This window comes from Homo sapiens, chromosome 11 (genome assembly GCF_000001405.40).
Source record: "Homo sapiens chromosome 11, GRCh38.p14 Primary Assembly".
Lineage (NCBI taxonomy): Eukaryota > Metazoa > Chordata > Mammalia > Primates > Hominidae > Homo > Homo sapiens.
The window spans coordinates 114823965-114848621 of NC_000011.10; the positions used below are offsets into that span (position 1 = coordinate 114823965).

Consider the following 24657-nt stretch of genomic DNA (forward strand, 5'->3'; position numbering starts at 1 on the left):
CTAAAATTTATTTAATGTACATAAGAGGATGTGTGTAGGTTACGTGCAAATAATCTGTGATTTTAAATCAGGGACTTGAGCATCCGCAGATTTTAGTATTTGTGGGGTATGGGGAGTGGTCTTGGGACCAATCCCTAGTGGATACCAAGGGGCAACTGTAATTGTTGGGGATAAGTAAAAGATTGAATGAATGAATGAATGAATGAATGAAGCAATGTTCAACTTATTAAGGTGATGACATTTCCACAAATAATTTAATATTGGGAAGTATTATGATGTATCAGACAGGATAGGTTATATTATGCTGCAATAACAAGCAGCTCCCAAATTTCGGCATCATATAAGAACCAAAGGTTTGTTTCTTGCTCTCATTCTATTTCTACCATGGGCCAACAGAAATATTCTGCTCTATGGTGTTCTCATTTAAGAATTCCAGCCCTAGGAGAACCCCATCTCTGTGTTTCCATGATTGCTGATGTAGGAGAAAGAGGATACAATAAATCTTGCACTGGCTCTTAAAGTTTCCACTCTGAAGTGACACAAACAATTTCTGCTCTTATTTTATTGTTCAAAGCAAGTCACATGACCACACAGAACTTCAAAGGGGCCAGGGAAGTACAATCTGACCATATGTCCAGAAGGAACATTGGAAATATTTATCAGCATTCATGCTCTTCACAGAAAATCTGCGAGGAAAAGTCCGTTTCCAAATGAAAATATCTAGTAAGGATTTAAGAACAAGGTGACATTTGACTTGGGCCTTGAAGGATGAGCAGGCTTTTTAGGCCACCTAGTTCAGTTTGCTGAGCTTTGATTCTTGAGGCTGGGAATGCATATAGCTTTCTTCATTTTCACTTCCTACCCCTATAGCTGGAAGATTTCCTAGGCTCCCTGTTCCAATAATTATTCAAATAAATAAGACAAAGTTCCATCTCTCAAGGAGTTTGTGGTCTAGTAGGGAGGATAAGTTTTGAATGTGTACAAATATTCATAAAACATTCATGAATGTGATATGCACAATGAAAGTAGAGCAAAGCAGGAAAAATTCCACTTGGAGGCATTGAATACTACTACTTGGAGACAGGTAGCATTTTGAGAAGGCAGAGCTAGGGCCAAAAGTGGAGAGGGGCTCTGGGTAGAGGAATCAACATGGACAAAACCACGGGAGTGGGCATTTACAAAGCCAACTAACTGGAAGAAATACCCTCCAGGCTGGCCAATGTCCTAAACGCCAGGGCAATGGGGTGGTGGGACAAAATGGGAAACTTCCTGAAATAGAGGACCTTCAGAAAGGGGGGGCACAGAATAAGAGAGCAGCATTGTTTTCTTCTCACTAAAACCTTCTCTGAAGGTTCAGCCCTAAGAGCCATCACTAACGTGCAGTGATCTTTGGAAGGCCTCTAGGAGGTTGCCTCTGCTTTTCATATCTCACAATGAACCTCAAAGATTTGCAAAGTGTGCAGCCTTCTCTGCCCCATCTGTCCCCAATTTCACCCACAGGGCATATAGATTTGCAATCTTGGTGGCTACCTCCTCCTTCTCAATAAAAAGCAGACAATTCTAGGAAAGGTTTGGAGATCCTGAAGACCTTGGATTCTGTAAGAAAGCCTGATCTGGGATATTGCCTCCATCCATGGAGATGTCCCCCAGCCCCATGGGACTCAGGGCCACCATTTGCTGGGGCCCAGGGACAAGCGTAGCCAGCCCTGACCATCTACTCTGCCTGGACCTCCTTCATTGACCTTGTCCCATTATTCTTATGACTTGGTCATTTTCAGATCAATCTATCCTCAGAATAATATATCAGCTGTTATGGTGAGAGTGACAACAATGAGGAATATGATGATGATTATTGTTAGTTTTCATTTTGTCAGATTTTGCTTTGTTTTGTTTGTTCAAATTGCTGTTGCTGGGGACTTATTTCCTGAAGCCAAAGTTTCCTGCCTTTCACTCACTTCACACTTTGACTCATTTATTTTTCCTATTTCCCCAAAGACCTTTTGACACTTTGAAAAGTGTTTTACTTAGATACAATCCTGGTCTCTTACCTTGTGTTTCTTCCATTTCTCCCTTCTTGCTTTTTATTAATAAATCATAAAGAAAGTGTTTCCAGGCACACATCACTCACTGAGTAATAAAACCTGGGGTGGAGGGCAGAATGGAGCAGAGAAGTAGAGGCTGGGGAGCCACAGGAAAGCCTTTCCTGAGCAGTGCGCCACATGTAGGTGTGAGAAAAGCCATGAGAGAAGAGCCCCAAGCAGCGTGGCTTCATGGGGCCACTAGGGCCTCCTTCACACCAGCTGGGAGATCTCACCCACTGGGAGATGGGCTAGACTTTGCAATTTTGCAATACTCTGCTTATGCAGATGAAATCACAGGCTCCTGGATGTCAATGCTAGAAGAAAGCATGCAGATCCTCTCCTTCAGCTTTTACAGATGAGGACACTGGGGTTAATGACTTAGCCTAGATGAGTCTGTTAGAAGCAGATGCTAGATCAGAATCCAAGTCCAGGGCTTTCCAACACAGATTTTAGTGTTTCCTTTGAGGCATGAAGTGATGAACCCTGAGAGCCCACCCCAAGCCCTCTTCTTACATGTCTCACTTTCCCTGGGGGCCACTGTCATCAACACTCTGACAACTCCAGGTCTCCCTTCTCGCCGCAATTCTACACTCACAGGTGCATTTAATTAATTACAAGACATTTCGACCTGAATGACTCACAGGCACCTCAAGCTCTTTCTTTAATCTCCTAGTAGTTATCACTGTTAAAACTTACTCAGTAACTAAACTATAAAATCTCAGATTTCTTTAAACTGTTCTCTATTCCCAGAAACCACATTCTACATTGAAAACTCTCTCAAAGCCACCCTTCCATCTCTCAGTTCCCATTGCCAGTTCTGCATTCCAGGCCTCCTCGTTCCTCTCCTAGCCTGCTTGTCTCTCTGCCTTTAGGCTCTACCCTCTCCAAGGCGCCTTTCAAATTCTACCAAAGACATTTTCCTACAACTCAAGCCAGACCATGTTCTTCCTATGGCTAAAAACGTAATCACCCCCATGAAGGCAGATCAGGCTTGCAGGAAAGAGGCTGGGGCGTGTAGAAGAAAACCACTAGCACAGGGTCTGCGCCTGAGCTCTCAGCTAGTGTTTGATGAATGACTGAATTGTTAATGAGAGCACAGGAGGGCTGCACAGAGAAATGGAAAAATCATGGCCTTGCAAACATTTCCCAGCCCTGCCACGTACGGTTGACTGCAGGCAAATACTGAGCCACTTGGAAATGCAGATTCTTAAAAGAAGGTGACACTTAATACCACTCCACTTAGCTCACAGATTGGCATAAGGATCCTTGAGAAAAAGGTGAGGGCATAGAACAACATGCAAAGAGAAACTATTGTTATGTCCATTTTGGAAAGTCTGAGGACACTCATGTCCTGATTAGATGGCAAGTGCGGTCCTGGACAAGTCACTTCTCCTTTCTGGATTTGGAATGACATCTATAGAATGACAATGTCGGACAAAAATATCTCAAACCCCATCCTGTGCTGACTTCCTGGGATTTTATGTTCGGATCCAAGGCTCCCAGGTGTCCTCAAGGAGGCTTGCTTATTAGCTGTTCAGTCTGCTGTCAAGAGCTGGGACCCGGCTCCCATCTCCAGATTTAACCTTACTACGCGGGCTTCTGCTTTCAGCTACTAATAAAGAATGAGAACTCAGATTTAAATCTCATTCTTTTCTTCTTCCATCACATGTGACACAAGTTTCAATCAACCAACCTAGGTGGTTAACTTAAAAAAAAAATAAGTTGGGAAAAATTATAATTAAAAAGCAAATTGGACCTCGTTATCAAAAATGCCTTAATTATCCCCCAAGGCTGGCTCTGGTACACATGCATCAAAGGGCCCAGCAACCCCAGATCAAAGCTTGGAGCTGGGTGTTGTGGCCAACTCCTCGCTTGTTTCCATAGCAGTTGTGTTCAAAGGAACAAAAGCTCTGAGTCCACAGCCTGGAAAAACTCTGGAAACCTCCAACCTGATTCTCTAGGGCTCCTCCAGCCACCTCCTAGGGAGCAAAGAGTAAACTTCAGCAGGGAAGATCCTCAGGGAAATTAGGCTCTCTCCTTTCCCTGGAAAAGGTTTGGGCCTAGAGGATTTGAGATCGAGAATGGGAATACAAGCAAGGGTTACCCTGGGGATTCTGAAATTGGGGTTAAAAACCCCAAGCATTCAGATCAAGCAAACAAATCAAATGCATAAATGCAAATAATTCACACTGATAAATTGGGTGCCTATGAAACTACAAGTCAGCTATTTGTGACCATTGCATTCTATATGGTAATAGCTGCTAGTTCCTGCTCACAAATCTTCAATCACTCCCCACTGCTTCCAGAAAGAAGTCTGACCCTTCATTCTGGCCTTGGAGGGCTCTTACAATTTGCCTATCACAGACATTTTCATCTTTCTTTTCCACAGTCCCTGAATTCCAGACAAACCATTTAATTCACATTCTCTACTGATTTCCCATGCTTTTAGAGATTCCTAGGTTCTACACACTTGCTTTTCCTGTGATCCTACTGTCTTGTGTATTCTTTTTCCATTAGTCAAAATCCTCCCTGGCCACAGGTAACTCTGTGTTTCTCGTATAGCACTAATTTATTTATTCAGCACACTTTTGGGGGGATTCTCTCATGGACAAGACCCCATTCAAAGGCCTTTGAACACAAAGAGGAGTAAGAATGTCCCCACCAGAAGAGTTCATACTCTAGTGCAGGAGATAGACATGCATTCAGTAGCTACATTAAAGTATAAAGGCCAGGCATGGTGGCTCACTCTGGTAATCCCAGTTCTTTGGAAGGCCAAGGTGGGCAGATCATGAGGTCAGGAGTTCAAGACCAGCCTGACCAATATGGTGAAACCCCATCTCTACTAAAAATACAAAAATTAGCTGGACGTGGTGGTGCACACCTGTAATCCCAGCTACTTGGGAGGCTGAGGCAGGAGAATTGCTTGAACCCAGGAGGTGGAGGTTGTGGTGAGCCGAGATTTGACAGAGCAAGACTCTGTCTCAAAAAAAAAAAAAAAAAGTATGAAAAATACTATCACCAGTGCTGTCGGGAAATATGTGAGTCACAAAAGTAATTTAAAATTTTCTAGTAGCTACTTTTTAAAAAGGTATAAAAGAAACAGGTAAAAAATAAATTTTATTTAATTCAATAAATCCAAAATGTTATCATTTTCATGGCACTAGAAATATTTCAAGTACACAAGAGCCACATGTGGTTAGTGGATTCTATATCAAAATGGCACAGATATTGCCAGGGAAGTAATGCATTTAGTCTAGGGAGTTGGGAAGGCTTCGTGGGAACTTGGTAGATGAGTGGGTTTTATTTGGTGGAGAAAGGATGAAATGCTTTCCAATCAAAGGGAAGAGTCTGTAGGAAAGGCAGAAAGGAGAAAAGAGCATGGCATGTCCATAGGCGTGTGGGGTAGCAGGCAGGATGCACTCTGAGGAGTGACTAGAGGTGAGCTTGAAAGGGAGGCCTCGTGTGTCCTCCGGTGGAACGTGCAGAACTCATGCAATCTTCTCTGTGATTGAAGATGATCTTGGCACCTAAGCTAAGAATGGGCTGGAGGTAAGAAGGACTCCAGGGCTAGGTGGGAGCCTCTTGCCTAGATTAGTGCTATTGCCTCCTAATTTGTCTCCTTGCTTCTGTCCCTAATTCATTGTGGTCTCTTTTCAACACCACAATCTGAGAGGTCTGGCTAAGCTGTAAATTCGATGCCGCTTGTCTGCTTAAACCCCCAGGACGTCTATCTCACTCATAGTAAAAGCCATGGTTTTTGGAATAGCCCATAGTGGCAGACAGGGCTGGACATTATGTGCCCTGCCTACCCCCATTACCTCTATAACATCATTTCCCCTCTATTCTCCCCCATTTACACTGGCATTCTATTATTTTTCAAACATGGCAGGCATATTCCCTCTTCAGGGCCTTTGCACTCACTTGCTGTTTCCTCTGCCTGAAATGCCCCTTACCTGGATATTGCATGGCACACTCCCTCGCAGGCCCCAAATCTTTCTCAAATGTCACTTTCTTCATAAGACTTTCTTTGGCCATGCTGTCTAAACTGCTTTTTCCTCTTTTTTGCTCTATTTTTCTCCTTAGCCCTTAGCACTGGCTAACATACTAAATGTTACTTATGTATCTTGTTTCTTACCCAGTAGAGTTGAATATCCAAGAGGAAAGGTTTTTTCTTTGTTGTAATCACTGCTGTTTCCAGCACCATGTCTGGCATGTAGTAGGCAATCAATGGATCTTGGTGGAATGAATGGATAGAGACAGGCAGGCCCAGGGTGTCAAGAGAGCTGTGGGAAGGGGCATCTAAGCCACTTTGTCTGGAGGGGAGGAGGACAGGAAAGTTTTCCTGGCAGAGGAAAAACCTGAGATGTAAGAGTTCAAACAGGCTATGAGAAGAGGAGATGGTAGGGAGGGCATGACAAGCAGAAGGGACAGCAAGAGCAAAGACAAGGAGGAAAGAAACACCATGGCACATGAAACTGCACACAGCTTGGTTTGTTGGAGTTAAAAGTGCATGCTGGGGAAGGGCGGAAGACGAGGCTGGAGAAGTAGGCTGGGGCTAGATTACAGAGAGCTGTAGCCAGTCGTTCCATGGCAGGGGGCTTTGACTGGAAATAGTCTCAGGTATGGCTTGATCTGCTTTTCAAGTAGTTCATTCTTGCATTTGTCCAGAGATCACACATGGGAAAGACAGAGCAAAGCCAAGACCATCAGTTGAGGAGGTTATTGTGGAAGGCCAGGGATGAGACAATGAGAGCCCAGGCCAGAGTGGTGGTAGTAGAAATAGAGAGGAAATGGGAGAATTGAGAGAAAGATAAAATTGGCAAGATTTGGCAATTGACTGCTGTAGGAGAAAGTTGCATCTCTGGTTTAGGTGCTGGTCCTGCCAAGTGAAACAGCAAAATGACAATAGGAATGAATTTGAGAAGAAAGGTTATTACATGAGACAGTTCCATGAATATATCCAGGATATGCTCAGACATATTAGTTTGAAACCGGGGCCAGTGATGCTGGCTAAAGAAATATTTTGGGAATCAGTAGCAGGTAGATGATAAGAGGAGCCTGTGTGAGTCAAATATAAGGGACAGGCACCCAAAGCAGCCTGTGATGGCTGAGGCAGTGAGTGGGGAATAGAAGTAGAATAATCATGTAGAGAAATTTACATCACCGTGAGGGACACAGTGTTGAACATGCCATCCAAAGGGCAAAGGAGAGATGGAGGGTTAGGGCAGGAAAGCAAGAATTAGCGGAAAGGTCAAAATCTGATGAATGAGCAAATCTGGTACAAAAAATATGTCAGGGAGGGTGGCTTAAGTCTGGGACCATGAGCAGCAAATAGGGTGAATCCTGAGGGAGGATATAGTAGCCTAAAGGAGCTATTGTCCAACAGACGCATTGGTTTTCATACTCTTTCTAGCCACAGAACCTCTTCCTTCAAATAGCTTCTAGAAGGCTATTAACTAAAACAAATAACAAGTAGAGCTGCTCTCATTGAAGCTGGTTTGGACCCCAAACATAACAAGTAGCTCCTACCTTTCCTCCCATCCTTGGAAAGTTCCTGAAACACAGGAAGATTGAAAACTGTTTGTGTAGTGTAAAGAATGGTGGACTGCATGCTGTTCATCTATTAACCAAACTGCATGCAGCTGGGAGTCTGGAGATTGCCAGCCCCAGGTCCACCTCCAACTACTTTGTGACGTAAGCAAGATGCTTTCCCTCCTCTATGAGCATAAGACATGGCAGGGGCACAAGATCTTTGTATCGGCCCCTTTCTGCACTAATATTCTGCAGGAATGCAAAGGACACAAAAATGGCTAAAGATAAGGTCAGCCAGTCCTGCAGGTCCTCTCTCTCCCCCAGTGCCATTTATCCCTCTGCCCACCCTCCTCTCCAAGCTTTAGGAAAGGCTCTCCACTTTTAAAGCACTGCCTTTAACACCTTGTTACCTTTAACAATAACATTTTTACCAGCCTGGTCATATTTTTGTCTTCCCTGCCCAATGACTATATTTTCCAAGAAAACAAGCTCCTTCAAAATGCACTGCCCTCTGCCAAGCAGGGGAGTGCCACATTATCTGCGGTGGGCACCAGCATTAAGGAGGAAATGATTTTCTTTCATCTGTCCAAGTAAATCTTTCCCCAACACTTGTCAAGCTGATTGCTGCCAATTTCCAGCTAGAGAAACACAGCCATTTAGACGGGGAGACATTAGTAACTAGAAGATACTTACAACATTTAAAACGGGGCTTTGCCTTTTCCTTTTTTTTTTTTTCTTCAGGTTGTGTATTTTTTATTTTTTTTTCAGTGTTTGCCAGCACTGCTGTTTAGGAGGAGGGAAGTGGAATATGTGTGTTTAATACACACACATAATAAAAATATGTTAAGATAATATGCATGTAATACACACACCATATATGTAAATACAAATGTTTGTCTTCATGTACTTAACGCATGTATACATATATAGTATGCATATATAATGCATGGGGGGAGAGAGAGAGACAGAGAGAGAGATGGATAGAGAGGGAGAGAACCCTCCCTTTTGAGCTCATGGCCCTTCATCGCTGTCCAGACATAAAAGGAAGCAGAAAGCCTAGCAGGCGTGTGCTAAGCTTCCATCCTGGCCTCTGTGCTGATTCTCCGTATTGTATGTGCCAGGCACTTCCACATTTACCTCTTGCAACTCAAGCATGGGAGAAGGAGAAAAAAAAATAAAACACTTCCTCCAAAGAGCGTAGCCACGGGAATCACAGGACTAAGAGCAAATAATGATTTCCTCCTCTACTTTTTAAGTAAATACTGCTGCACAATGAGCTATTGGGCAGGACAGGTGCAAAATAATAGACTCTTTTTCTGGTCTCCCTAGCCCCCATGAGACCACTGTTAACTGCATCAGGTACTCAATTTTCTTTTGTTATTTAAAAATGTGTTTGTGGATTCCTGGGGGGCAGGGGAAGAGGGGGGGAGTCCTGTTCTAGAATCACCAAGAGAATGGCTTAATTTGTATTTTTGCTTTATTAATGGAAAACTACCTGTTGGTCCCGGGATTTCTCTACCCAGGGGAGCTTTTAATGCATCTGTCCAATGCAATGGGGCTTGGGGGGAAAAACCCACTCTTATCAGCAAAGTCTTGTGGGGAAGGGAAGCACACCCAGTGGAAATAGCTGGGACTGTCAGAGAGGGAACTGGACTCCTGCTGGGATTTGGGCAAGCCCCTGGACCTCCCAGGCCTCAGTTTCCTCTTCCATGAGAATGGGAGAATAATGCATATCTTACCTATTTCAAAGCACTCATGATGAGGTTATTTTAACCTCATGATAGCTTTGAAATACCTTAATGCCTCAAAAGGGTAAAGAGACACAGTAGTAAGAAAAATGCAAGGGGTTCTTAATAACGTTTTCATTCAATTGGGTATAATTAATCATTTCTCATTTTCTATTCTGAAAGCAGTTTGTCACTTCAGGTAAAGTCAGACACAATCCCAGAAGCATCTGGCTGGAGAGGACATGAGAGCTCATCTCATTCAGAATCTCACTTCCAGATTAAATCACGTGGTGATGGATTCAGGTCTTTGCACCATACATCCCTCACAAGTATCTCTCATTATCAAAGGGGGAAAAAAAGTCTAGAGAGAAAACCTGAAGCCTCAAGCAAATATTTCTGAAAATATTTTACTGCCCTTGTTAATTGAAAAATATATAGATTATCTCCCATTTGCCCACCCCTTGTGCATCTACAAAATAAGAGCTATTTGTACAATCTGAGGTGGGAAACATGAGGGTGATATTTATTCTGTGTCCAGCCCCCTTTCCTTGCTCTTCCATGGTGGCAAAGCTACAGAAGTAATCCTCCAGGAGGCAAATACAGTAGATCAGGTAGATCTTCCAAGGATGGGATCTGTCTTTACATTTACAAGGTTTTGAGATTTGAGTATGAATATGGAGCTATTCTTTTCTTACTCTTTATATAGCACTGAATCAATTCATGGAAAGTTTGAGGGGCTAGAGGAGTCTTTCCCTAGGTGTGAGCTGAATGATCTCTGATCTGCTTTTTGGAGCATTACCCTCCTGGAAGCCCCAGCTCTCCAATGACAGCTTCCTTCACACTGCTCTTTCACACTGCCCATCACCAGTATTTACTAGTTGGGCTGGTCCCTTGGGGTGAAAGAGCTGCTGAGTACAGGTGGGCACTAAGGCTAGGGGACCAAGGTCTGCACTGGAGCCACACTGGGGAGGCACAGTGCACCTAGCAGCTAGGGCTCACCTGGTCCCCCAGATCATCTTCCCTTATCCAGGCTAGCCTTGCGCCAATGCTTACTTTTCTTCTCAGAGGGATCCCTAGAGAAAAAGAACCTACACTACCCAGAAATCCAAATTTATATTTGTTACTTGGTAAACTTTGCCCAGTTTTTTTCTTCACCTCTGTCCTCCTGGCTTCTATGTGAATAATATATTAATTCATTAGCATTCATTAAAAACTCTGTTCAATTTGGTTGAGCAAATTAGCAGAAACTGTGGCATTTAGTTCGAAGGCCAGGGAAATTTTGAGGAAAAAAAAGGGGAAGGTTCAGGGACATGTCCACAGGTGAGGGTACTAGGAGTAGGGGTCAGGCCCATTGGGCACTGCGGTCAAGAGCTCTGATCACCTGGGGGCACCTCTGAGCACCTTGGGTGCTGATGGGATGGGAGGTGCAGTCCATAGGATACCCGTCCATCTGTGTGATAGACACAGAAACCAGTGCATTGAAGACAAACTTTATCTACCTCACTGTTTTGTATATGGATAGATCTGACTTTTTCACTAGTCTGGAGCAAGTGGAGTACAGGATTTCAGTAGAGACATTGCACTCACTTTGGTGTCAGAGAGCTGAATTTTAGTTGTGATTCTGTAATGTCCTAGCTATGTGACTTTGAGTTTGCTATTTAATCATCAAGCCATAGTTTCTTTATCTGAGAAACAGTGATAATGATAATCCCTACCTTGTAAGGTGATTCTGATGAAACAATGAACAGAAACTTGAAAAGTACTGGCATATAAGTGGTTCCCAAAATTAGACATTGTCTTAGTTCTGGCAGCTATAACAGAATACCATTGACTGGGTTGCTTAAGCAACAGACATTTATTTCTCATAGTTCTGGAGGCTGGGAAGTCCTAGATCAGGGTGCCAGCATGGTCAGATTCTGGTGAGGGACTGCTTTCCTGGTTTGCAGGTGACATTCTTCTTGATGTGTTTTCATGTGGGGGAGATCAAAGAGAGGAAGCAAGCTCTCTAGTATCTGTTCTTACAGGACACTAATCCCTCATAATAATCACTTCCAAAAGGCCCCACCTCCCAATACTACCACACTGGGGATTAGGCAGCAACATATGAATTCTGGGGAGACACAGACATTCAGTTCATAGTTAGTATTGTTATAACCTATCTCCTTCCCCTCATTATTTAAAAGGCTCTCCACTTTTAGACACACTATTGAAAATACATTTTAGAATGATCTCCTCCATCCAGCCTGCTTTTCTAATATAGTTCTTGACATCAACAGAACCTCTGGGAAAGATTAAAGAAAACTCTTAGCATCAAGAAAAAGTTAAATGTCTCCTTAGATATACGGGCCAAAGATACAAACATCTAATTTACAAAAAAAGAGACATAAGTGTTCAATAAACCAAACACACACACACACACACATACACACACACAAAACTTCAGCCTTGATAGTAATAAAGATGCAAACAAAAATCAATTAAATTATACTTTTCATTTTCCAAAATGATAAAAGATTTAAGATGTGATGAGGTTAAGTGTTGTCAAGGGTGTGGAGGGGCAATATACTCATACACTGTTAATGTGAGTATAAACTGATAGCACCTTTCTAAAGAGCAATATAGCAAAATGAATCAATAGCCCACCCTTTGTACTAAATTGACCCACTAATAAAACAAACAAGAAAACCTAGAAATAGACTCAAATACATATAATAATTTGGTGTATGATAAAGATAACATTTCAAGTTAATGGAGTGAAGATGAATTATCAGTGAACGTAGTTGGGACAACTGGGTAGCCATCTGATAAAATATTGAGTTTCTAGCTCGCTTCATGTGCCAAAATAAATTTCAGATGGATCAAATATACAAATGTGAAAGAGGAATCCATAAAAGTACTATGAGAAAACATGGGAACAATCATTAATAATCTCAGTGAACAAGGTTTTTCTACTAAGATGCCTTAAAATTTGTTTCTATAAATATATGATTTATTAGGTGATATAAGACAATAAAAATATTATTGTGTGAAATCCAGCCCATGTTTGTGATAACCGTGACTGATATTTCTGTAAACAGATTCATCTGCCAACTTGGATTTGCAAGTAAAAAAGTTTCGATGAGCTGCTTTGATTCCATCACGCATTTGGAAATGCCTTCCACAGAGAAACATGGCTGTAACATGGGCAGATTATGATCCAATGGTGAAAATCTGTATTTGACACTGGATTCAAAGAAACTTCTATTTTGCCTATATCCTGGCTTCTCTGCCTCTGAATATGTAGGGAAGAGTGAGGAGAAGCAGTCAACTGGGAAAAAAATTTCTTCTCAATTTTCTACCGTTTCTTATCTAAAACCACTGGGTTTTAAAATTTTCGGGGAGGGTAATACTGTAAATACTTTGTATATTATGAAACCTCAAGCAGCATCAGGGGAACATTCTATAACCAAATACATTGTTATTTCTGCAGCATACAAATGAATATTCACAGCCAGCGAGATGGATAAAACCACACATTCATCCAAGTCAAAAGTTTTACACTAAATGAGTTTTAGCAATGAATTTGTGAAAATGCTTTCAGTTCTGAGTATTATGGATAACAGAATGGGGGCTAAAATGTAAAGAGTAACTACAAATCAATAAAGAAAAAACAACGATCCATTAGAAAATGGGCAATGATATAAATAATTCACAGAAAAAGAAATACAAATGGCCCTCAGATGAATGAAAAAGGTTATCAACCAGTCCCATTACTAATAAAATAAATGCAAAATAAAACTACAAGATAAAATTTTTAAATATCAGATGGATAAACATCTGAAAGTTTGAGAGGATATTGGTGTTGAGAGTGTAAGCAAACATGCAGTCTTTTATGTTGCTAGTAGACACACATTGTGGTACAACTTCTAAGGAGATCTATTTAACAAAATCAACACAAATTTAATTAAGTATGCTATTTCACATCTAGGAGTTTATTCTAGATATATCCAATGATAGGTTAAATACATCATGTTATAATATACACACAACATACAGTACAGTATTAAGCAACACCTAAAAAGAATGTGATAGATCTTTATGTGCTGATATAAAACAATACCCAAGGTATGCTGTTAAGAAAGCAAACAACAACCAAAGAACACCAAGGTGGAGTATACACTGGGTTTACTAAGGTACAACTTGTAGAAAGGGAAAGGAAAATTTGATGAAATTGCCACTTTTATAGGTCAAAATGATAATGTACATTAAACAAAGTAACAGTGGTTGGCCCTGGGTAGGAAAACTGAGTGTTTGGGATACAGGAATATGACAGAGATTTTTCAGCACATATGTATTTTCATATATATCATATATATATATATATGCTTGAATTAAACAAATATTAGGTCTCATCCTATCTTCTTAATCTCTTTCATATTTTCATTTTTTATTCTCTGCTGCTTTAGGGGTAATATCTCTCTGAGCTATTTTCTAGTTCACTAATTCTCTTTTATTTTTATACAGAGAGATTTTTGTGAGATTTTATATATATGTATATTATATATGTAACAAATGTATATGTATATATGTATATTTTATATATGTATATTATATGTATATTTTTTATATATGTGTATTATATATGTATATTATACATATGTATACTTTATATATATGTATATTATGTATATGTATACTTTATATATATGTATATTATATATGTATACTTTATATGTATATTATATATATGTATACTTTATATATATGTATATTATATATGTATACTTTATATATATGTATATTATATATATGTATACTTTATATATATATGTATATGGAGAGAGCGAGAGGGAGGGAGTGAGAGAAAGAAGCCCTTTTGTATTTTGGCTTAGGTGCTATTGCTACAGAAATAAGAAAAAATAAAAGATTTATTCACATCAGGATTTAGAGGATCAATCTAAACATTCAACAGCAATAGTAATAGGTTAGTTAAATAAATAATGATATCTTTATGATGGACTAACATGCAGCCATCAGAAATCAAGTTGTAGAAGAATGTTTATACTCATGGAAAATAGTTTATGGTGTATTAACAATTTTAAAACATAGACTTTCTAGTTGCCATATTCATAAAAATAAAAAAGTTAAAATGATATATAACCATGTAAGTCAATGTACCTAGGAAAAGACAGGAAGTGTCTATATGAAAATATTCTTCTCACAATTATTCAGTGAGTTCTTATTGTGCATGAGGAATTCTTCAGGCTGCTAGGCATAGAAGTCTGAACAAAATACTTACAGTTCTGGTATTCATGGAGCATAGTTTAGCAGAAGACATGCAGAAACAAGAGAGAAAAAATAAAATTGTATGAGAAAGAATTTTAAGAATTACTCCAGACTGGGTGGTTAGAGAAGCTTCATTGAGGAGGTGACATTTAGGTTAGCCTAAATGGTCCTAGGACCTGAAGGATAAGGAGCTAGTCATGTGGAAAGAGGTAGATGAACATTCCAGGCAGGTGGAGCAGTGTCTGCAGAGATGGGAAAAAGTGTACTGTGTTCATGGCCATGAGAGAGGTCCAGTGAATGCAGAGCAAGGGAGAGAGGGAGAGAGCAGCACATGTGAAGATGGAAAAGGGAGGTCAGACGTAGCTCATACAGGAGCTTAGAGCTAAAACAAGGAATTAAGATTTGGTTATAAATGCAGTGTTGTTGAGAGTTCAGCTGTCATTATAACTGCACACTTTTTCCTCTGGCTGATTTTAAGAGCTTCTCACCATCTGTGGTATCCTAAAATTCACTATGAGTAATCTAAGAGTGAAGTTCTTTTTGTTTATATTGTTTGGATTTGTAAGGACTCTTAAATCTGCCTTTAAAGAGTTTCAAAAAAATTCTTAGTCGTTTTATCTTCAAATATCACCTCTGCCTCATTCTGTCTCTCCTCTCCATCTAAAACTTGAAATAAGCAAAAATCAGGTCTCATTCTATCTTCCTAGTCTCTTTCATATTTTCATTTTTTACTCTCTGCTGCTTTTTGGGTAATATCTAAGTTATTGTCTAGTTCACTAATTCTTTTTTATTAGCATGTCAGCTGTTAAACCCATTGAGTCTCTATTACTGTATTTTTCATTCCTGGAATTTCCATTTGTTTTTATTTCAAATATTCTAGGTTGCTTTTTATGGTTTTCTGTTCCATGAAGATATTTTTTAATATATTGTTTTTCTCTAAATATGGATTATAAAATACTTATGTTAATTTAATATAAAGTTTCTCTCAGACTGTTTTTGCTGTCTGTTGGTTATGCTGATTCTTCCTCATGATGCTTTATGCTTTGTATCTTGGTATTTTCTGCTGTGTTCTATTCATTATCTTTGGAAAATTATTTCTGAGACATCATTGAAGCATAGTATAACTTCCTTCAAAGATAATTTATGTAGGTTTTATTTTGTTTATGCCTATGTGTACTTCTAGAGTTTGGCCATGGCAAACCATATTCCCAGCTTTTTATTTTTTTATTTTTTTATTTTTATTTTTTTCTTTTTCTTTTTTTTTATTATACTTTAAGTTTTAGGGTACATGTGCACATTGTGCAGGTTAGTTACATATGTATACATGTGCCATGCTGGTGCGCTGCACCCACTAACTCGTCATCTAGCCTTAGGTATATCTCCCAATGCTATCCCTCCCCGCTCCCCCCACCCCACCACAGTCCCCAAAGTGTGATATTCCCCTTCATGTGTCCATGTGATCTCATTGTTCAATTCCCACCTATGAGTGAGAATATGCGGTGTTTGGTTTTTTGTTCTTGCAATAGTTTACTGAGAATGATGATTTCCAATTTCATCCATGTCCCTACAAAGGACATGAACTCATCATTTTTTATGGCTGCATAGTATTCCATGGTGTATATGTGCCACATTTTCTTAATCCAGTCTATCATTGTTGGACATTTGGGTTGGTTCCAAGTCTTTGCTATTGTGAATAATGCCGCAATAAACATACGTGTGCATGTGTCTTTATAGCAGCATGATTTATAGTCATTTGGGTATATACCCAGTAATGGGATGGCTGGGTCAAATGGTATTTCTAGTTCTAGATCCCTGAGGAATCGCCATACTGACTTCCACAATGGTTGAACTAGTTTACAGTCCCACCAACAGTGTAAAAGTGTTCCTATTTCTCCACATCCTCTCCAGCACCTGTTGTTTCCTGACTTTTTAATGATTGCCATTCTAACTGGTGTGAGATGATATCTCATAGTGGTTTTGATTTGCATTTCTCTGATGGCCAGTGATGATGAGCATTTTTTCATGTGTTTTTTGGCTGCATAAATGTCTTCTTTTGAGAAGTGTCTGTTCATGTCCTTTGCCCACTTTTTGATGGGGTTGTTTGTTTTTTTCTTGTAAATTTGTTTGAGTTCATTGTAGATTCTGGATATTAGCCCTTTGTCAGATGAGTAGGTTGTGAAAATTTTCTCCCATGTTGTAGGTTGCCTGTTCACTCTGATGGTAGTTTCTTTTGCTGTGCAGAAGCTCTTTAGTTTAATTAGATCCCATTTGTCAATTTTGTCTTTTGTTGCCATTGCTTTTGGTGTTTTGGACATGAAGTCCTTGCCCATGCCTATGTCCTGAATGGTAATGCCTAGGTTTTCTTCTAGGGTTTTTATGGTTTTAGGTCTAACGTTTAAATCTTTAATCCATCTTGAATTGATTTTTGTATAAGGTGTAAGGAAGGGATCCAGTTTCAGCTTTCTACATATGGCTAGCCAGTTTTCCCAGCACCATTTATTAAATAGGGAATCCTTTCCCCATTGCTTGTTTTTCTCAGGTTTGTCAAAGATCAGATAGTTGTAGGTATGCGGCGTTATTTCTGAGGGCTCTGTTCTGTTCCATTGATCTATATCTCTGTTTTGGTACCAGTACCATGCTGTTTTGGTTACTGTAGCCTTGTAGTATAGTTTGAAGTCAGGTAGTGTGACGCCTCCAGCTTTGTTCTTTTGGCTTAGGATTGACTTGGCGATGCGGGCTCTTTTTTGGTTCCATATGAGCTTTAAAGTAGTTTTTTCCAATTCTGTGAAGAAAGTCATTGGTAGCTTGATGGGGATGGCATTGAATCTGTAAATTACCTTGGGCAGTATGGCCATTTTCATGATATTGATTCTTCCTACCCATGAGCATGGAATGTTCTTCCATTTGTTTGTATCCTCTTTTATTTCCTTGAGCAGTGGTTTGTAGTTCTCCTTGAAGAGGTCCTTCACATCCCTTGTAAGTTGGATTCCTAGGTATTTTATTCTCTTTGAAGCAATTGTGAATGGGAGTTCACTCATGATTTGGCTCTCTGTCTGTTGTTGGTGTATAAGAATGCTTGTGATTTTTGTACATTGATTTTGTATCCTGAGACTTTGCTGAAGTTGCTTATCAGCTTAAGGAGATTTTGGGCTGAGACGATGGGGTTTTCTAGATAAACAATCATGTCGTCTGCAAACAGGGACAATTTGACTTCCTCTTTTCCTAATTGAATACCCTTTATTTCCTTCTCCTGCCTGATTGCCCTGGCCAGAACTTCCAACACTCTGATGAATAGGAGTGGTGAGAGAGGGCATCCCTGTTTTGTGCCAGTTTTCAAAGGGAATGCTTCCAGTTTTTGCCCATTCAGTATGATATTGGCTGTGGGTCTGTCATAGACAGCTCTTATTATTTTGAAATACGTCCCATCAATACCTAATTTATTGAGAGTTTTTAGCATGAAGGTTGTTGAATTTTGTCAAAGGCTTTTTCTGCATCTATTGAGATAATCATGTGGTTTTTGTCTTTGGCTCTGTTTATATGCTGGATTACATTTATTGATTTGCATATATTGAACCAGCCTTGCATCCCAGGGATGAAGCCCACTTGATCATGGTGGATAAGCTTTTTGATGTGCTGCTGGATTCGGTTTGCCAGTATTTTATTGAGGATTTTTGCATCAATGTTCATCAAGGATATTGGTCTAAAATTCTGTTTTTTGGTTGTGTCTCTGCCTGGCTTTGGTATCAGAATGATGCTGGCCTCATAAAATGAGTTAGGGAGGGTTCCCTCTTTTTCTATTGATTGGAATAGTTTCAGAAGGAATGGTACCAGTTCCTCCTTGTACCTCTGGTAGAATTCGGCTGTGAATCCATCTGGTCCTGGACTCTTTTTGGTTGGTAAACTATTGATTATTGCCCCAATTTCAGCTCCTGTTATTGGTCTATTCAGAGATTCAACTTCTTCCTGGTTTAGTCTTGGGAGAGACCCATCAGTGTGCTGTATTCAGGAAACCCATCTCATGTGCAGAGACACACATAGGCTCAAAATAAAAGGATGGAGGAAGATCCATTTCCTTGGTAGATCTTCCTTGGGAGAGTGTATGTGTCGAGGAATGCATCCATTTCTTCTAGATTTTCTAGTTTATTTGCGTAGAGGTGTTTGTAGTATTCTCTGATGGTAGTTTGTATTTCTGTGGGATTGGTGGTGATATCCCCTTTATCATTTTTTATTGTGTCTATTTGATTCTTCTCTCTTTTTTTCTTTATTAGTCTTGCTAGCGGTCTATCAATTTTGTTGATCCTTTCAAAAAACCAGCTCCTGGATTCATTGATTTTTTGAAGGGTTTTTTGTGTCTCTATTTCCTTCAGTTCTGCTCTGATTTTAGTTATTTCTTAAAGAAAAGAATTTTCAACCCAGAATTTCATATCCAGCCAAACTAAGCTTCATAAGTGAAGGAGAAATAAAATACTTTACAGACAAGCAAATGCTGAGAGATTTTGTCACCACCAGGCCTGCCCTAAAAGAGCTCCTGAAGGAAGCGCTAAACATGGAAAGGAACAACCGGTACCAGCCGCTGCAAAATCATGCCAAAATGTAAAGACCATTGAGACTAGGAAGAAACTGCATCAACTAACGAGCAAAATCACCAGCTAACATCATAATGACAGGATCAAATTCACACATAACAATATTAACTTTAAATGTAAATGGACTAAATGCTCCAATTAAAAGACACAGACTGGCAAGTTGGATAAAGAGTCAAGACCCATCAGTGTGCTGTATTCAGGAAACCCATCTCACAGGCAGAGACACACATAGGCTCAAAATAAAAGGATGGAGGAAGATCTACCAAGCAAATGGAAAACAAAAAAAGACAGGGGTTGCAATCCTAGTCTCTGATAAAACAGACTTTAAACCAACAAAGATCAAAAGAGACAAAGAAGGCCATTACATAATGGTAAAGGGATCAATTCAACAAGAGGAGCTAACTATCCTAAATATATATGCACCCAATACAGGAGCACCCAGATTCATAAAGCAAGTCCTGAGTGACCTACAAAGAGACTTAGACTCCCACACATTAATAATGGGAGACTTTAACACCCCACTGTCAACATTAGACAGATCAACGAGACAGAAAGTCAACAAGGATACCCAGGAATTGAACTCAGCTCTGCACCAAGCGGACCTAATAGACATCTACAGAACTCTCCACCCCAAATCAACAGAATATACATTTTTTTCAGCAACACACCACACCTATTCCAAAATTGACCACACAGTTGGAAGTAAAGCTCTCCTCAGCAAATGTAAAAGAACAGAAATTATAACAAACTATCTCTCAGACCACAGTGCAATCAAACTAGAACTCAGGATTAAGAATCTCACTCAAAGCCGCTCAACTACATGGAAACTGAACAACCTGCTCCTGAATGACTACTGGGTAGATAACGAAATGAAGGCAGAAATAAAGATGTTCTTTGAAACCAACGAGAACAAAGACACAACATACCAGAATCTCTGGGACGCATTCAAAGCAGTGTGTAGAGGGAAATTTATAGCACTAAATGCCCACAAGAGAAAGCAGGAAAGATCCAAAATTGACACCCTAACATCACAATTAAAAGAACTAGAAAAGCAAGAGCAAACATTCAAAAGCTAGCAGAAGGCAAGAAATAACTAAAATCCCAGCTTTTTAATGTCCCTTTCAGTTCATGAGAATTTAGCCCACAAATTTACTAGGGGACCATTTTGTACTTACTTCTAGAAGAGAGCTTATTTTTTTCTCTCACAGATCCGCTCAGAGCTGGGGAAATCTTCCTTTAAATCCCTGGGGTGGGGTGGCTACACCTGCCTTTTGGTGTCCCAGCTTTTTGTGGGGGAAGTGTCCTATTTCATGCCCCACTTTAGAAAGGTTTAGGGATTTGATTATTGTCTTCATTGTTTGATGAGGTTATAATCAGTTCACCCAGTTCAGCAAATACCACTGGGGCAAAATACACCATTTGATGCTCAGGGTTCTTAATTTCCAATAGATTTTGACATAATAGTTCTTTGCCATAAGATTGGCCCTTTGATGCCTTTAAGAATCTTTTAAAAAAGTTATTCATTATACTTAGTTGTTTTCAACATGAGGATCATCCAAACAATGTAGCCTGCCTTATCATCAGAAAAAGAAGTTGATTTTAAGTACAGCTGGAAACCACTGAAGGTATTACACAGAAGAATGATTTTATCCAATTTACTTTTTAAAAATTATGATATGGAGAATGGAGTGGAGGAGGCAAGAGTGAAATCGGTAGGCTTAATGAAAGAGTATTGAGTAATCTAGGCGAGCAGGTTGGTTTGAGCTGGGTTGTGGCAGTGAAGAGGGAGCAAAATAGGTAGGTTTAGTTATATTTTGTAGATTAGAATAGAAAGGACTTGTGGATAATTGGATGTTAGATAAGGAGATGGAGTCATTCACAATAACTCCCAGTTTTTGTGTTAAACAACCATTTGAATGATGGTGCCATTGAGAGGCTGCCATGATATGAGGATAGAGCAGATGGTGTGGGTTTGATTCAGGGTTGTTTGTGTGTGTGTGCACACTTATGTTAAGTGTTTATGTATATGTAGAAATAAAATTCAGTTATAAGCTTGTAATGCTTAAGATTCATATGAGATATCCAAGTATCACCATCAATAGTGATTATTTGTGGCTGATGAGATTAGGGGGAATTTTCTATTTTTCCACATTTTGACAGATAAACATATATTTTATTTGTTTTTAAGGAAAAAAATGTTGTTTTAAAATAGAGGAAGCCCCTGTATACTACAGAAATTATAATTCCTTTTGAAAACTTGAAATTGATCATCTTTATATTAACATTCCCATCTGTTTCCACTTCTGTATATTGTTTGTGTGTATCCACCATACTGTAAATTACTTTAGTGTCTGTCAGAGACCATGTCTGATTTATTTCTTATCACTTTTCTCTAGTATCTACCACATTGCAGTGCACATGGTAGATGCTTAATAAATGCTGAGTAAATGAAAGCTTTTACAGATTAAAGATACTCCATAGCTAGTTTTTCATTGAATTATGGATTAGACTGCCCATAAGGATGTTGCAATCACAAACCAACATATTTTTCCATTCAGAGTACCCAAAACTATACCAGCAGAACCTACTTTTTCACGTTAAACCCAGCAAAACCAAGGTGGAGGCTGAACTTTGGAGACTCACTCACATCCCTTCCACTTGAGTCCTAGTTGGGCTCTCTTTTCCCAAAGGCAGCAACAAACTGAGCACTGCAGGAACACCTAACCAGCCCAGGCAGGCTTCAGTGGCACTAACCTTAATGCATTAGCTTGCCTACAGCTTTGCAAAAGCACAGATGGTATGAGAAACCTCTCGCTGCTATGGACCCCCAGACATACCACGGGCCTCCCTTCTACCATAATAAGCTTCCTCACTCTCCCACAACAGCAGACTGTATAATGATGACATTTCACTCAGCAAACCCTGGAAGAGCATGGGGTTTGTTTCTTCTTGTTTTATTGTTGTAACTACTGCATAAGTATAAACCTTCTTAGAAATCCTCAGAGTGTAAAGCCTGAGACAGAGCAATCTCTCTGGAGCCAGCAGGCTCCTCACTCATCAATTATGCACATGCTGGTGTCATTCTCAGGGCTGGACTATGGAAAAGCCAAATAGCATAGACAGGTATTTAAAAGTCAAATTCTCCTAGACTCTCGATGGGGTCGAAAGCAAGATGTACAATGCAAGCCAGAAAGTGACAAAAATGCTCTGGTTTCCATAACTCTCTTCACCTCTCCTAGAGTTTCCCTCTCTAGCTATAACCCCACCAGTGTAAAGATTGGGAGATTTTTCAGTGTTCCTGCCAAGCAATGCCTAGTGCCCATCCTGCTTCAATGCTCTTGTTCTGGCAGCTTCCCAGAGGGCCTGTGCCAAAGTCACAGGCTGTCTGGAGAGAACACCCAGCTGGCCACCCTGAGGAACACCACCACAGAGACGCTGAGTCAGGCCCAGCCAAGCAACAGCAGCTGTTGCAATGAGACTTTGGGGAGTGGAGGCCGCCTAGTGCTCTGTGTTAGCAAGGCACTGAACAGCATCTGCAAACCGCAAAAAGCCAATGCATAATGCAGAAGTGCATGCTCCACTTTCTACCTCTTTCTTCATTGTTCTCCCAGGAAATGTAAAATAGATAGCTTGGCCATGGTTTCTGCCTACAGTCATGTCCTTAAATACTCCTGTCTATGGCATTATTTTCCTATACCCAGGCATCTTTGGAGAGTCAAGGCAATGCATACTACAATGGAGCTTAAGCATGATAGCAGGAAAAAGAGTGGTTGGTTTTCAAGTAATTGGTTCTTCAGGCCTCATTTTCTATATTCTGAGATCCCTGAACAAAAGGCACTAGAGGTAATGGTGAGGCTGAGTAAAGAGAGGAGGTTCTGGTGCTGCTGGAGCTCTGGGTCTGCCATACCTTGACCTAGGCACTAGGCACCAAAACCCTAGCCTCCACTCCTTTGCTGCTCCCCTTAGACTTCTATCCAAAGCTCCCAGAGCTCAATTGAAAGCAGCAGGCAAAAAGTCAAATACTTCATTAAAAGCAGCAAGAGACTCTATTGTAAACCTGCAGCTTTTGCCCATCAAAGATGAGACACTGGGATCCAAATCGGTTCTGGTTTCAATCAGAGATCAGATACTGAAGAGATAGCTTGTGGTGTGTATCTTTTCAATGTGCTGCAGAAAGCCCTTCTGTTTCTCCTGTTTTTACCTTATTTTTATACCCTATAGAGACCCTCAAGAACTGCTGCTCATAATACATACATACACACACACACACACACACCCACCCTCATTATGCTAAGCTAGGGAGAAGCCGAGAAAACACTTCAAAAGGTAAGCAACGGTTTGAGTTTCAGGTTTATTGAATTCCCGGAAATGCTGTCTCTCCTCCTGAGAAAGGTTAGTGTTTGGAAACAACTTTAATCTGGCTAAAGAAAAGGGAAAGAGGGAGGAAAAGACAGGGAGAGAGAGCGCTGGCTGAGGGAAGAGATGGAGAGAAAGAGAGAGGGAATTGTTAATTTCAATTGATTTTCTGATAAGGTTTCATATCCTGAAGTGTGCTTCAAATCTGAGAAGTGACATCTGCTGAGATCGCCCGTCAGTGTCTGAATTCTCCTGAATGTAATTAGATCTGAGACAAGATAGAAGACTCAGTACGGTGGCCCTTAGGGAGGAAATGGTCTTTGAAAAGAATTATGTTAATCAGACTAGCCTTCTTCTTGCATCTGTTCTGCTGTTATTCTGGGTAAAATTAATAGGTCTAAGGAAGGATCTGATCATAATGACAATCTGGTCTTCACAGCAGGTGGTTTTATAAAGGAGTTGAACTGTGCCTTGTTGAGAACACTTAAAGTAATTAGTTACAGGGCTACTCACTTTCTTTCCTTTTTAATAATAATAATGGTTATTAATGTTTACAAATTAAAGAGTCTTACTCTAGATGAAAGGAATGCTGAAACGGAGACTCGGGAGTAGACGCCTGTACCTTTATGCCTCCTGCTGGGGTTGAAGATCCTACAGCAAACCCCCCTTTTTTGTGGATTGTACTCCCTTTTTCACCTCCCCCCAAACCCATCCCTTCCCTCTTCGCTCCCCGGAGCACCGCTAGAAACAAAGTGCTTAGAGCTTACAGTGGGGAGGAGTCAGCAGAGCTCAGGGCAGAGGCTGTGAAGTAGGTGCTCAGTAAATATTTGCTGGGAGGATGGAAGAAAGAGATGTAGAAAGCAAGAAAGACTAGAAGTAAAAAAGAAAAGAAGAAGAAGAAAAAGGAAAATAACAAAAGGAGGAAGAAAGACTGGAAGTTAAAAGGAAAAAAAAGAAGGAAGAGAGAGAAAAAGGAAGAAAGGAAAGAAGGAAGAGGAAGAAAGGAAAAGCATTCTTATTGCCTTACTAGAAGGTGTAACTTCAAAGGAGGGGCAAGGGTTGATGTTATAATTTGTGTTCAGTTCTCTTCTCTGTAAGTCTATAAACCAG

The 24657-nt window shown here is 40.2% G+C and overlaps 1 long non-coding RNA gene across 1 annotated transcript in view, besides 1 other annotated feature; it reads right to left on the reverse strand.

The window, feature by feature from the left end:
* LOC105369506 (uncharacterized) overlaps nucleotides 1-24657 on the reverse strand; it is a 95796-nt gene that overhangs the window by 46994 nt on the left and 24145 nt on the right. The window lies entirely within an intron of this gene.
* Nucleotides 22831-23330: an enhancer, noted in NCBI's record as "H3K4me1 hESC enhancer chr11:114717517-114718016 (GRCh37/hg19 assembly coordinates)". NCBI's record gives its function as "activates a minimal SCP1, AML or CMV promoter by ChIP-STARR-seq in naive H9 embryonic stem cells {active_cell/tissue: H9 hESC(naive)}" and the evidence as "EXISTENCE:reporter gene assay evidence [ECO:0000049][PMID:30033119]".